Genomic DNA, 12,921 nt, shown 5'->3' with positions numbered 1-12,921 from the left:
TTATACAAAGTGGAGAAATAGCTTACTAAATAAAATTGCTGGTGTACTAAGTTTAATGGCATTTGTAAATTCTTCTGTGGTCAAGCACTCCCCAAAAGTTATATTTATTAAGGTGCTTTTATTCAGATAAGGGGAACAAAAGCATCAGAGGGCCTGAATCTGAGTTAGGATGGACAAACTCAGGTGAACAGCCCTGGAATGTGAAGATGGATGAAGGGAGTGTCTTCCTGGATGAAGTCTCCTTTAAGGAGAGTGCGGTAATGTAGGACAGGCCAGGAGAATAATGAGCTGGTGTCCATTGGGGATGCTAATGACAGAGCTCACATTCACTATGCACTTATTATGTGCCAGCACTCTGCAAGAGCTTCACACTAGTAGTTACAGCTGCCACAGTGACCCTACTCACTGTTAAGCCACATAAGCTTAAGGAAGGTTAAGTTACTTGCCCCAGGTCCCTGGTTTGCAAGTGGTGGAGCTGGGATATGAACCCAGGGGTCTGATGGCAAAGCCTTTGAGCTCACCACCGCCCAGTACTGCATGAGAGTTAAGGTTTGGGTTGTCTTCTCTCTTATTTCTCTTCCCCACTGTGCTCTCTCCAGCCAGGATGGGAAAGAAAGACAATGGTCAGGACATGGCTGCCTTCTCCTTTGTATCTCCACTTGATCCAAAACATTCTTGTAGGTCATTGGGTATATGTTGATCCATCCTCTAGACTAAAGTACAGCTGACCCTGAATGACACAGGTTTGAGCTGCACAGGTCCACTTCTACACAAATGTTTTCTCAGTAATATGTTGAAAATTTTTTTGGACATTTGCAACAATTTGAAAAATCTTGCAGACAAACCATGTGGCCTAGAAATATCATAAAAAAAATAAGGAAAAGCTGGATATGTCAGGAATACAAAAATATATAAATAGATATTATACTATTTATATGTTAATCACCTGTTTATGTTATCCATGAGGCTTCTGGTTAACAGTAAGCTATCAGTAGATAAGTTTTTGGGAAGTAAGAAGTTATATATGGATTTTTCACTGCAATGTGGAAGTCAAAATAACCTCCACACTGTTAAAGGGTCAATTGTATTTCTCAAAGGCAGATTTCTAAAAATAAAACCTGTAGATTTCACTCCATAAGAACTGTGTCAAGAAGCCAGGCATGGTGGCTCACACCTGTAATCCTAGCACTTAGGGAGGCCGAGGCAGGCGGATCACCTGAGATCAGGAGTTCGAAACTAGCCTGGCCAACATGGTGAAACCCTGTCTCTATTAACAATACAAAAATTAGCCGGGAGTGGTGGTGCACGCCTGTAGTCCCAGCTACTTGGGAGGTCGAGGCAGGAGAATCACCTGAACCCGGTTGCAGTGAGCCAAGATCGCATCACTGCACTCCAGCCTGGGTGACAGAGAAAGTCTCCAACTCGGAAAAAAAAAAAAAAAAGAACTGCATCAAGAATCTAATGTCTTCTCCATTGCACAGCTAGGAAAATATAAGGAAGAAGTCACTGAAATAAAAACAGAAATATTTTTGTTATATAAACTTCAGGTGGCCTGACTGCTTCCCTACCACCTTTTGCTAGTATATGAGCCTCTGGGTAGAAAGTTGCATCAACAACCGTTTTCTCCTAATCTAAATTATCTAGTGTTACAATAACAATGTTTACCTCTTCATCTTCATCATCAAACAGGGAAACCAACGTGGGGAGCTTGCCAGGCAGCAGAGACGCACCTTTTAACTTACTCGCACTTTGAGAAGAAAACAAATCCTGTTGGATTGAAATTAAAGTTGCTGGTTAACAGGAATATCAGTTTTTAAAATATCAGGTCAGTATAAAACACAAGTGACTCAGACATGACAGCTGCCATGTGTCTAGGCTTCTTTCCTGAGAGGGAAGGTGGCTCAGACAGAGTCCTTAAAGGGATAGGCCTCAGGGTCTGTGCAGGGTGTGTGCAGTGGCACTAAGGAGGAGGAGAGCTACAGGATCTGGTGGCCTCGCAGAGCCCAGGGGCTTCTGTATTCCCACCTGAATGACAGAAGGCAGGAATAAGTTTTTGAATCAATTTCCTACACCATGCTAAAAAAATAAATATATAAGCATGGCTTCCCATTACCGTCTAAAGAATCAAAGATTAGACAGGGTCAATAAAGAAACAGGGGCTAGATTCCCAAATTAATGGAGCTACAACTATTTTATTTAGTAACACCCTCCTCCCCTAAGATTATGACTTACTTCTTTTTCTTTTTTTTGAGGCGGAGTCTCGCTCTGTTGCCCAGGCTGCAGTGCAGTGGTGCAATCTCGGCTCACTGAAAGCTCCGCCTCCCGGATTCACGCCATTCTCCTGCCTCTGCCTCCTGAGTAGCTGAGACTACAGGCGCCTGCCACCACGCCTGGCTAATTTTTTTGTATTTTTAGTAGAGACGGGGTTTCACCATGTTAGCCAGGATGGTCTCGATCTCCTGACCTTGTGATCCGCCCGCCTCGGCTTCCACAAGTGCTGGGATTACAGGCTTGAGCCACCACACCCGGCCGACATATTTCTTTTAAGTAAATACAAATTAAACTTTATTTTTAAATGTTTGCTAGTCTACTTAGCTTAACTATAGGTATATGACATTGCAAACCAGGATAAGACCTGATAGATTCTAAAGAAACTTTCAGCTCGGTGCTGTGGCTCATGTCTATAATCCCAGCATTTTGGGAGGCTGGGGCAGGCAGATCACCTGAGGTCAGGAGTTCAAGACCAGCCTATATTAATTTTGTAAAAATACCAGATTAGCCAGGTGTGGTGGTGGGTGCCTGTTATCTCAGCTACTCAGGAGGCTGTGGCAGGAGAATTGCTTGAACCCGGAAGGCAGAGGTTGCAGTGAGCCAAGATCCCACCATTGCACTCCAGCCTAGGCAAAAAGAGTATAATTTCATCTCAAAATAGCTAAAAAATATAAAAATCAAGAAATTTTCAAAATGTTATAAAACATCAGCTTATCCTGCAAAGAAAGACCTGCAAGTTGACCTACATGAAGTAGAAACATAAAATGGGACATCTATTCCCTTGGGAAGATAAACTTCAATACACAAGAGCCGAACAATTAAATAGGACAAGAAGATATTTCTAAGACCTCTTTGGACAGTTTTTTTTTTTTTTAATTATGGGGTCGCTGTCTACTCCTAAATATAGACCTAATGAGTTCACTAAGTGAGATCTCCTCCACACAGTGTTTTTCCCCTGTGCTCCCCGGAGTCCCATGGGTTTATTTAGATAGAAGAGGCCACAAGGGGAATTCCAGGCATCCCGTGTCCCTCCTGCATGTTACACAATGGCAAGAGAAAGGGTTCTGCTGTTCTAAGAAAATGAAAGTAAACCAAAGCAAAGAACAAAAACAAATGTCAACATCACAGTTTCGGACCCTTAACTGATACCTTTCTTGGTACTGCAAGAAAAGACACTTCCATTACCTCAAATATGTTCCCCCAAAATGACCACAGGGCAAGCTTCAGCCTCACACTTGAGATATAGAGAAAGGAGTCAGGACGCATTCCTTCGGGTCCAAAGCTTTAACTCTTACTTAGACTGCCTTAGTTTTACCTCTCCTTGCCTTAGAATCTGAACAATATCCAATAAAAACATTCGCTCTATGATGACACACATGGGGCAAAGCCTTTGGTAGGGTTTTCACACAAGTCTGAGAGTACATTTACACTCCCACCATCAAGAAGGGGAGCCTATGGCCTCTCCCCATAAACCTGGATGGGCCATTGTGACCATCTTGGCCAACAAATGAAGCAAAAGGAACACCGTTGACTTCCAAGGCTGGAACAAAGAAGGCAACATGGCCTCCATCGGGCTCTCTCTGAGGACTCTCCCCTACAGCCCTGAGCCAGCATGTAAGAGGACCGGCTTCCCTGACTACATGCTGGGAGCCACACAGGGCTAGTGAGAGATGTCCCAGGGGCCCCAGTGCCCAGGTACCAGACATATGAATAAGGTGATCCTCAGCCCAGCCACCTTCAGACACAAGAGACCCTCAGTGACAATGGCCTAGCTAAGCCCAGTCAACCTCTCGAACTGTGAGACAACAAAACTATGGGTGTTATGAACCACTAGGTTTTTGAGTTACTTGTTTCATAGCAACAAATAACCAGAACATCTCGTAAGTCACTGAAATTGTTCACATTTGGTTTTCTTGTCTAATCAACAATTACTGGATGGCTTACAACATGCCAAGCACTGGTATTAAGGACGGGGTGTTAGGGATACAAATAGGGAATACAAAGTCCTGCCCTCATGGCACGTACTTTAGTGGGAAGTAGAGACAATGAATAAGTAAATATACACTGTCCCTGGCAACACGTGCTGTGGTAAACAGTGAAATAGGAAAGAGGAACAGGAGCACAGCGTGGTATGTGCTAGCAGGCTTCCTGCTGTGTGTATTTCATCAGGGAGGCCTCACAGAGAAATCGAAGAGTGAGGAAGCAAGCTGGATTCTGGGAACAGCATTCCTCAGAGTGGCAGGGGCCGGTGCAAAGACCCTGAGGTGCAGGTGTGGGTGACACATGGGATCCATGAGCATAAGACGGTGGAGGCCCCATCATGCTGTTTCTCAGGGGTCAGGGTTGTGACTTAACTGGACTTTGGTTAATTCCTACGTTTTGTACACTCGCCTTCAGTGATAGCCTCAAAGGTATTCTTTACATCAAGGGCAATCACTCTACTTCCAAAGGGTTCCATGTTCATCCTTGCTGTGAGTGCAAAGCCCAACCATGACAGCCTAATCTAGAGCCCACAGTTTCTTGAAATACATGTAAGTTTCTGCCATGTCCACATATTTTTCTGTAAAAGGGGCTTATTACTTCCCATTACAATCTCATACAGTTCTATGATCTCCTAAAAGGCCAACTTAAAATTGGATCTAAGACGACCTAGGCCTGAGAGACTCAGGAAAAGCAGTGAAATTCTGAGAGGTGGTTCTAAGGTGCCTGGAGGGACCAAAGCAACCTATGAACCAGGGTCCCAGAGGCTGTTAGTGGTCTCAGTCTCGACAAGACAGATGGCTATGCCAGAACCCATCTGCTACAGCGTTAAGGCATGGTCTAGTTAGTGAGAATGTGAATAAAGGAAGTAGCATGGTGACCTCCACTCTGGTGCAAGCTCCTCATCACATCATGAGCCCATGAACAGTTTAAAATCTGAGCATCCTAAAGAGAGAGGATTTTCATCCCAGGAAATGTAAATACAGTCCAACCCAAAGTGAAAAGTATTGTAAACATATTGCTTTCTAAAGCCCCTGTGCTCTCAAGAGATTATTTTTTATTCATTTATTTATTTTGAGATGAAGTCTCGCTCTGTCGCCCAGACTGGAGTGCAATGGTGTGATCTCGGTTCATTGCAACTTCTGCCTCCCGGGTTCAAGTGAATCTCCTATCTCAGCCTTCTGAGTAACTGGGATTACAGGCTCGCACCACCATACCCAGCTAATTTTTGTCTTTTTAATAGAGACTGGGTTTCATCATGTTGGCCAGCCTGGTCTCCAACTCCTGACCTCAGGTATCCGCCTGCCTTGGCCTACCAAAGTGCTGGGATTACAGGCATGAACCACTACTCCTGGCCTCTAGAGATAATTTTTAAAGAACTGGAGTACTTAACAAAAAGTCTTATAACTCTATTGAGAAAAACCTGATTCAAAAATAGTTTCTATGTCATATCCATAGACTAATACCCACAACTAAGCAAAAGAATTCCATACCTCAGAGTCCTCCTCATCTGAAAATAAGCCTTTTTGAGTCTTTGTTTCTGATGAGGGCTTGAGATTTTTGCTGGAAGATAAGGTAACCTTTGTCGGGGGTGGGGGGGGGGGTGGGGAAGAAAAAAAGAAAAAGAAAAATTAAGCATTAACACGTAAGATACCCAGAAAAGAGGGTTTACTCAATCAATCGAGAAAACGCACGGAGTCTCTGCTGTGATAGGCAGCAAGCTGAGGGGGCTGTTAAGAGAACAGCAAGACAAACAGAGGACACATCTGGTGTATCAGGGAGCAGGACACACAGTCTGGGTCAATGGGTGCACAGATGGGACATATGCAATGAGAGACAGCATGGAAAGACAGGCTGCCTGACGGGCCTGACAGGTTCTGAATGCTGGGCCTTAGGTGGTCGGCAGGAGAAAGTCAGGGCTTCACAGCCAGGACACGACACAAAGAGACAAAACTGTAGAAAGAGGAGGGACCAGCTGTACAGGACAGCAGTGAAAGGTCAAGCAGTCAGAAGGGCTTAAAGACTGCTGGGGACACACACACTGGCCAAATGCAGGTCAATCTGAGCATCAAAAAGAATGATGGTTTGGCCAACATGGGCAAAACCCGTCTCCACAAAAAATTAGCCGGGCATGGTGGCGCACGCATATAGTCCCAGCTACTTGGTAGGCTGAGGCTGGAGAATCGCTTGAACCCAGGAGGTTGAGGCTGCAGTGAGCTGTGATTGTACCACTACACTCCAGTCTGGGCAACAGAGCAAGACCCTGTCTCATAAAAAAAAAAAAAAAAGAAGAAGAATGATGGTAATGGATTATCATCTACACTGAAGAATGAATACATGATCCCAAAGCAATACTAAAAATCGGGGAAGGAGAGGGAGAGAAAGAACTTCATTCAGAAGAATGCCAACTAATAAGAAATATAGAATTAAAAAAATAGTGGTTTGTGCCCGCTAACAGATTAACTGAGTCAAGAAAAGATCATCAGTGGATTTTCAAAACACTGAGTAAAAGGCTGGGAGAGAACAGGTATTCACACTGTGTTCAACTATCGCTTTAGAGATCAACTTAGCAATGGCAAAAGAGGACAGGGTACCTTTCCAATGAAGCAGTGTGGTGGGCACCCTAACAACCAAGTGACAAACGTGTCTGAATGAGGCAGACAGTGGACCTGATGTGTCTTGGGAGGTGATCCAACTGGAAGTGCACAACCCTGCCTGCTTGTATTCTTGCCAAAACTTCTCACCCTGAATCTATTCATAGGAAAATAATCAAGCAAATTCACGAGACACATTCTACAATACAAGTGGCTGGATATTAAAAAAAAAAAGATGTGGGAGGTGTTGCTCTAGATTAAGGAGACCAAAGAGACATGACAACCAAATGCAATGCAGACACACTGTCCAAATCCTGAGTTTCTTAGAACAAAAAAAAAATCAAAACATAAAAAAATACTATAAAGCAGGGGTCCCCAACCCTGGGCTGCAGACCAGTCCATGGCCTGTTAGAAGCCGGGCCACACAGCAGGAGGTGAGGTGAGCAGCAAGCATTACTGCCTAAGCTCCTCCTCCTGTCAGATCAGTGGCAGCATCAGATTCTCACAGGAAGGCAAACGCTATTGTGAACTGTGCATGTGAGGGATCTAGATTGCAGGTTGCACTCTCCTTATGTCCCTAATGCCAAAAAGGTTGGGGATCACTGCTGTAAATGGCATTTTGGGGACAAGAGAGGAAATTGCAGTATGAACTATATGCGAGATAATTTTAAATCTGTATTCTATTTGTTGGGGTGATTTTACAAAGACATTCTGGGGCAACTGGAGCAATTCTAATACAGACTAGATATTAGATTCTACTATAGAATTACTGTTAGTCTCACAGCTGTTGATAATGGCATTGCGCTTATATGGAAGTCTTTTCAAGAGAGGCTTAATGAAATATTTAGGGGTAGAATGTCACAATGACTACATGGAAACAGTTCCATGCAGCAAACAGTTCAAACAACTTACATGCAAATAGTTCAGGAAAAAAATAGATATGTAACAAGGTTTACATCCATAAAGTGTTTGCCAAAACCCTAAGAACTGATCAATCTGGGTGGCAGTTATTTGGGTGTTCACTGCAATGTTCTTTCCACTTTCTGTTTGAAGTTCTTCAATATGAACGTGAAAGGGAACAGCACTTCCCTCTGGGTTCAGGATGAATTATTAAAATGCGGCAGATCAATGCTCCTGCGTTAAGTCTTCCCTCCTGCTCACCTTTTTTTCTGCTCTTGCTTTATTTTCATCTGTCTGACTCACAGTGGCTTCTGGCGATGCTACGGCTTTTTCTTTGAACAGATCTCCTTCTTCGTCACCAAAGATATCGGCAGTGGATTGGACTTTGCCTGTAAAAAATACCAAGGCATAAAATGACACTAACGTCAAACATCCTATCACAAAATTCACAGATTAAAAAATTCTTCCCTCCCAAAGAATAAACATAAAAAGTTATGTTGTTTCTTGATTAGTTATAAAGAAATAGTAAGTGGAACTATACTCTTCCCTTGGAATTTTTCAAAGTGCATAGTAGCAGTTCAGTTGAAAGACAGAACAGACAGTTTATCCACGTGGCTGACATGCTTATCCAAGCAGCCATTTCCTGTACTTAGAGTAGCTTGGACTGGCTTACAAGGTGAAGAGAGATCTAGAGGAAGAAAGATCATTTAAGAGGGCCACCAAGTCAATCATCTAAGGAATCTGAGAAATGAAGGCTTGGCTCCTGTTTTAAAAAAAATCAAACTGTACAAAAGCAGATAAAAGCAAATAATGAAATCCCCTCATAATTCCACCAGTCTACTCAAACAAGATGAACATTGGGAACAGTTCAGCATACATGCTTCTAATTCCCCCAAAGGATGTACTAATGAATTAACACTAGTTATTTATAAATAAGGCTATAAATAAGAAGATAATTTGAACAATGTCTTACCATTTGTGTTTTCCACTTAATGTACCTACAAAATCTTCCCAAGTCAACAAGCGTAGACCCCTTTCTTTTTAACTGTCACAGAATAGTCCACTGAATAGAAGGGCCATAGCTTACTCTACTGATAAGTATTTGGGTGGTTTCCAACCTTTCATCACCATAAGCACTGCTGTACCGAATAGGGCATGTGTTGCTGAAATGAGGTCACTGACTCATGAATGTCTGAAGAGACTAGGAGTTGTCAAAGAAAGCAGCATCAATTTACTAGGGATTCTAAATCAGTTCTCAAAGATATCCACTAAGTAAGAGCCCTGTGGAGCTACAAAAAGCACTACTACCTTCATTCACTGTCATCTTCACCGAGACCTGTGTGCATTGTCATCTTCACTGAGACCTGTGTGCATTCTGCATCCGTTTGCACTCTTTCTAGATTAACTAGGCTATCGTTTTCCCTCACACTTCGGCTTCCATCCTTACTTTCTACACCTAACACTGGAAGAGAGTGAGTCCAAACAGCCGGCTTCTAAATGCATTCTAGTTCCATCCATTCCTATGCCATCCTTTTTTATTTTTTAAAGTTGCTGAAAATCATGTGCACCTTAGGGATCTAGGGATCTACCTTTCTTTTCTGGAAGAGCAGTCAATGGATCTAAGTCTTGCTATTCGAAGTGTGATCTACAGACCATGAAGCTTGCTGGAAATGTAAATTCTCAGGCCCCACCCTGGACCTACTGAATCGGAATCTTCATTTTGACAAAAGCCCCTGGAAGATTCATCTGCACATTTAAAAACAAATGATTTATGGGAATGACTTCAGGACATAGGACTTACATTTAAGAGGAAAAGAGAGGAGAATGCCGAAGTGGCCAAGGGGATGAAAACATCATCTGAGGAAAGACCAAGGCCACCTGAGCTTTTTGGCAGAGAAATGAGAAGCTGGGAAATAAATGGCCGGCACACAACCTGCTGCTCATGTAATTGACTAAGGTCGGCTGGAAGAAAGGATGATTAAAACTTTACAATACCAAAGGTCAGAACTGGAAATTGCAAGCAAAAATTATACAGAAAAGGATTTCAGCTCTCTATAAGGAAAATAATCATAGTAATTAGCTTACAGAGCAGAAAAGATTGGATCATAAAACAGACCTCCCAGGCACCACACCTATGTAAGTACAGACACAACAACTCAATGACAGGAATGCTGGAGAAGGGATTCTGGCACTGTAAGAGATACAGAACTAGGTGAGCTTATGTTCTTTTTAGGCAACGTTCTTTTTCTGGCTGAAGTCCTAGAAACGGAGGCAGGAACACATACCTGTTTTAGAAGGTTTGCTGTGGGGTGCCGAGAAAAAGTCGTCATCATCATCACCATCATCATCATCAAAGAGGCCAGTGGGAGGGGGACCATAGGGGCTTTTCCTTGGAGTGGGCTGCTCAGGCTTCTGTGGCTCCTTCATTGATGGAACGGAGGCAGCACCAAACACATCCGTGTCTCCTGTGGGTGGAAAGACAAGACAGCCACAGCTGTGAGCCAGTGTGGGCCGGTTGAATTTACAGAAAAAAATTATCACCCACCAAAAACTTTCCATTTCAGTTAATCCACAAAATGCATAACAGGGCCCAATAGCCTCCATCCATTACTGCTACAGAACATCTCACAACGGAGAATCACCAGGTCAGCTCAAACACAAAAAAGTCCAAGGCCACTGAGCTCTAGGAGAATAAGAGCTAATATCAGTAAATGAGCTCTTTCTATAAGATGCTCAAAGCCCTTTGAAGCTCCCAGGTACTTCCTCATCTCCAGCCAGACTTTAGAAGATGATAATTTTGAAATGCAAAAAACAGTATTTGTGTAGTTTTTAGAAAACAAACCTAAGTTATGTTACCTAAAAATACAGAAACAGCTCCTGCTGGGATTTTCTTTCCAGGTTTGGATGATGAAGACTCTAGAATGAGAAAGCAAGGGGTAACCATTTTACAAGGGAAATAACTTTCCTTGCTATTTTCTTCCTGAAATACGTGCGATGTAAAACACAGCTAGTATCAGACCTTTTGAAACCACTTTTTCCTGAACAAGTCATTTTAAAATTCTTTAGTATTTTCTTCTCTACCGATGTCAGGACTTTTTTTTGGGGATTAACACAATCTGAGCTGTGACTCCAATGGAAGAGCATGCTGACCGTCATCAAGCCACAGCAGTGGGTCAGCTGGGGGACACCAAGGGAGGAGGTGAGCACAGCAGAGGCAGGGACAGCATGACCAGGGCTCCCCCAAACAGTTCCACCTCTACCCATTCCAGTTGGATGAGAATGAACGGGTGAAAAAGAACCGCAAAAACATGTGAGTCATCAGTAAAAAAATAAAGACATAAGAGCAAAGGGGGAAACCAAGCAAGTCACTGATGCCAAAACATGGACAGCAGAAAGCAGAGGAGAGCCAGGCTAGCAGCCCGCACAGCAGGCACAAGGAGCGGCCTCCAAGGCCCAGCTCTGATGCCTGTGCCCGGGAGACTCGGCACTTAGAATCACTAATTCCCAAGTCCCAAGAACTACCACAAACCTATGGAGTAACATTTGTAGGTTAAAAAACATATTTATATTTGTGTTTTTTAAAAACTGCACCAAGGGGACAGGTGCAGTGGCTCATGCCTGTATTCCTAGCATTTTGCCAGGTCTAGGCGGGTGATCACTTGAGGATAGGAGTTTAAGACCAGCCTGTCCAACCGTCCAACATGGTGAAACCCTGTCTCTACTAAAAATACAAAAACAAAAAACAAAAAAACAAAAAAACCTGCACAGATGATTTTAATGCACACTGGGTTGGGGAATTACTGGTCTCCAACTTATATACAGAATGTTAAAAATGTTTCTTTAAATTAAACTTCATTCAATGAAAACCATCCTCAACATTGCTCTAGGGTACTTTTCTTGTTTGACTTTCTATGAGTTCTCTCCTAACAAAGAGGCAAGACTGTGGTATGGGTTTACAGATGGTACTGTTTTTTCCAAGACATGAATTAGTGAAGATGAATTACTTTCAACTGGACCACAGTAAAAACAACAGCTTCCTGCTTAACACAGAAACAAGGCTTGGGAACAACCTTGTTCCATCTCCTAGTGAGAAAGACAGTTTTGGAACTCTGCACACGGAGACGCAGCTGCCCAGCCCCAGCTTACCCTCCTTAACAGAGGCTCCAGCTTGCCGATCCTGGGGGGCTTCCGTGAAGAGGTCACTCTGGTTGAAATAAGGTATATGACAAAGAATTCAAAAAACCAGGAGAAAGCATAGCTGCATGTGAGGATTCCTAAGGAAAAATAACCTACAAGATTTAAAGCTACATATTTACTACTCTGCCAGAAAATCAGTTGCAAAGTGATAACTATGGCAAAATCAGACCCTAAAATAATTTAGGCCTGTCCAGGAATTAAAAACAAACGTGGAAGACAACAGATAAGGCAAGAAACAATCACCTAGTAAATTATTCACATTAACACGTGCACATCTTCTCCTCACCTAACAAAGCATAGAAGGATACGGCATTTCTCACTCTGTGATTCTTAGTTCAAAATGTCCCAAAATATGAAAATAGAAGCAACTTCCAACTGAGAAACTGTTTTTCCCCCACTAAACAAGCAAAGCCTATATCTTCCCTGTGGACCCCTGACACAGCTAGCTGCAGGGAGTGTTGCTGGGTGCCATGGACTCACCTCCTCGTCCTCATCATCAAAGAGCCCCTTGCCCCCACTGAACAGGCCACCTCCAGAGCCAAATGGCGAGAAGTCCTCGTCGGTCAGCTTGGGGGGTGCGAATAAGTTATCCTCTTCATCTAGCAAACAGAAAGCAATGTTTTGCAGGGAGTATTAAAGATGGGTCCAGAACTCAAATTCCCGGGTTGGCATCTGCTGTGTCTCCAAACTGGCATGGAGTTTATCTGACACTATTTAACAAAGTGTGAGGCAGTCTGATGAATTTCACACTAAACCCCTGGCACAGTCCACTGACACCCTCAAAAGACTCTCTGGGCCTCCACTCTCAAGTCTGTCCACGTCTGTGGCACACAGTATTCATTCTCTAGGCCAGCACCCTGGATCTAGCTTTACTCTGAAGCAAGCATTCGGGTCAGACGCCACATTCAAGACCCATTCCCCAACCAATCTGGGGGAAGGAAGGGCAGAATAAACAAAGGGATCTGCAAACTGACACAGG

The 12,921-nt window shown here is 43.3% G+C and overlaps 1 protein-coding gene across 30 annotated transcripts in view; it reads right to left on the bottom strand.

Moving 5' to 3' along the window:
• WASHC2A (WASH complex subunit 2A) overlaps positions 1-12,921 on the bottom strand; it is a 65,556-nt gene that overhangs the window by 27,701 nt on the left and 24,934 nt on the right. For 18 of the 30 annotated variants that reach the window (NM_001005751.3, NM_001291398.2, XM_017016227.2 and 15 more), the window contains 7 exons: positions 12,423-12,541; positions 11,892-11,949; positions 10,602-10,661; positions 10,031-10,210; positions 8,007-8,134; positions 5,745-5,831; positions 1,666-1,767 (listed from right to left, as the gene is read on the bottom strand). In NM_001005751.3, coding sequence (NP_001005751.1) covers positions 1,666-1,767; positions 5,745-5,831; positions 8,007-8,134; positions 10,031-10,210; positions 10,602-10,661; positions 11,892-11,949; positions 12,423-12,541 — 734 coding nt within the window. Of the gene's footprint in view, positions 1-1,665; positions 1,768-5,744; positions 5,832-8,006; positions 8,135-10,030; positions 10,211-10,601; positions 10,662-11,891; positions 11,950-12,422; positions 12,542-12,921 lie in introns of those variants that run through there. The other 12 variants (NM_001437392.1, NM_001437390.1, XM_047425207.1 and 9 more) reach the window with 2 other exon arrangements.

Source organism: Homo sapiens, chromosome 10 (genome assembly GCF_000001405.40).
Source record: "Homo sapiens chromosome 10, GRCh38.p14 Primary Assembly".
NCBI classification, from domain to species: domain Eukaryota; kingdom Metazoa; phylum Chordata; class Mammalia; order Primates; family Hominidae; genus Homo; species Homo sapiens.
The sequence above is the reverse complement of the archived record's forward strand: the minus strand, read 5'-3'. Positions and strand labels throughout refer to the sequence as shown.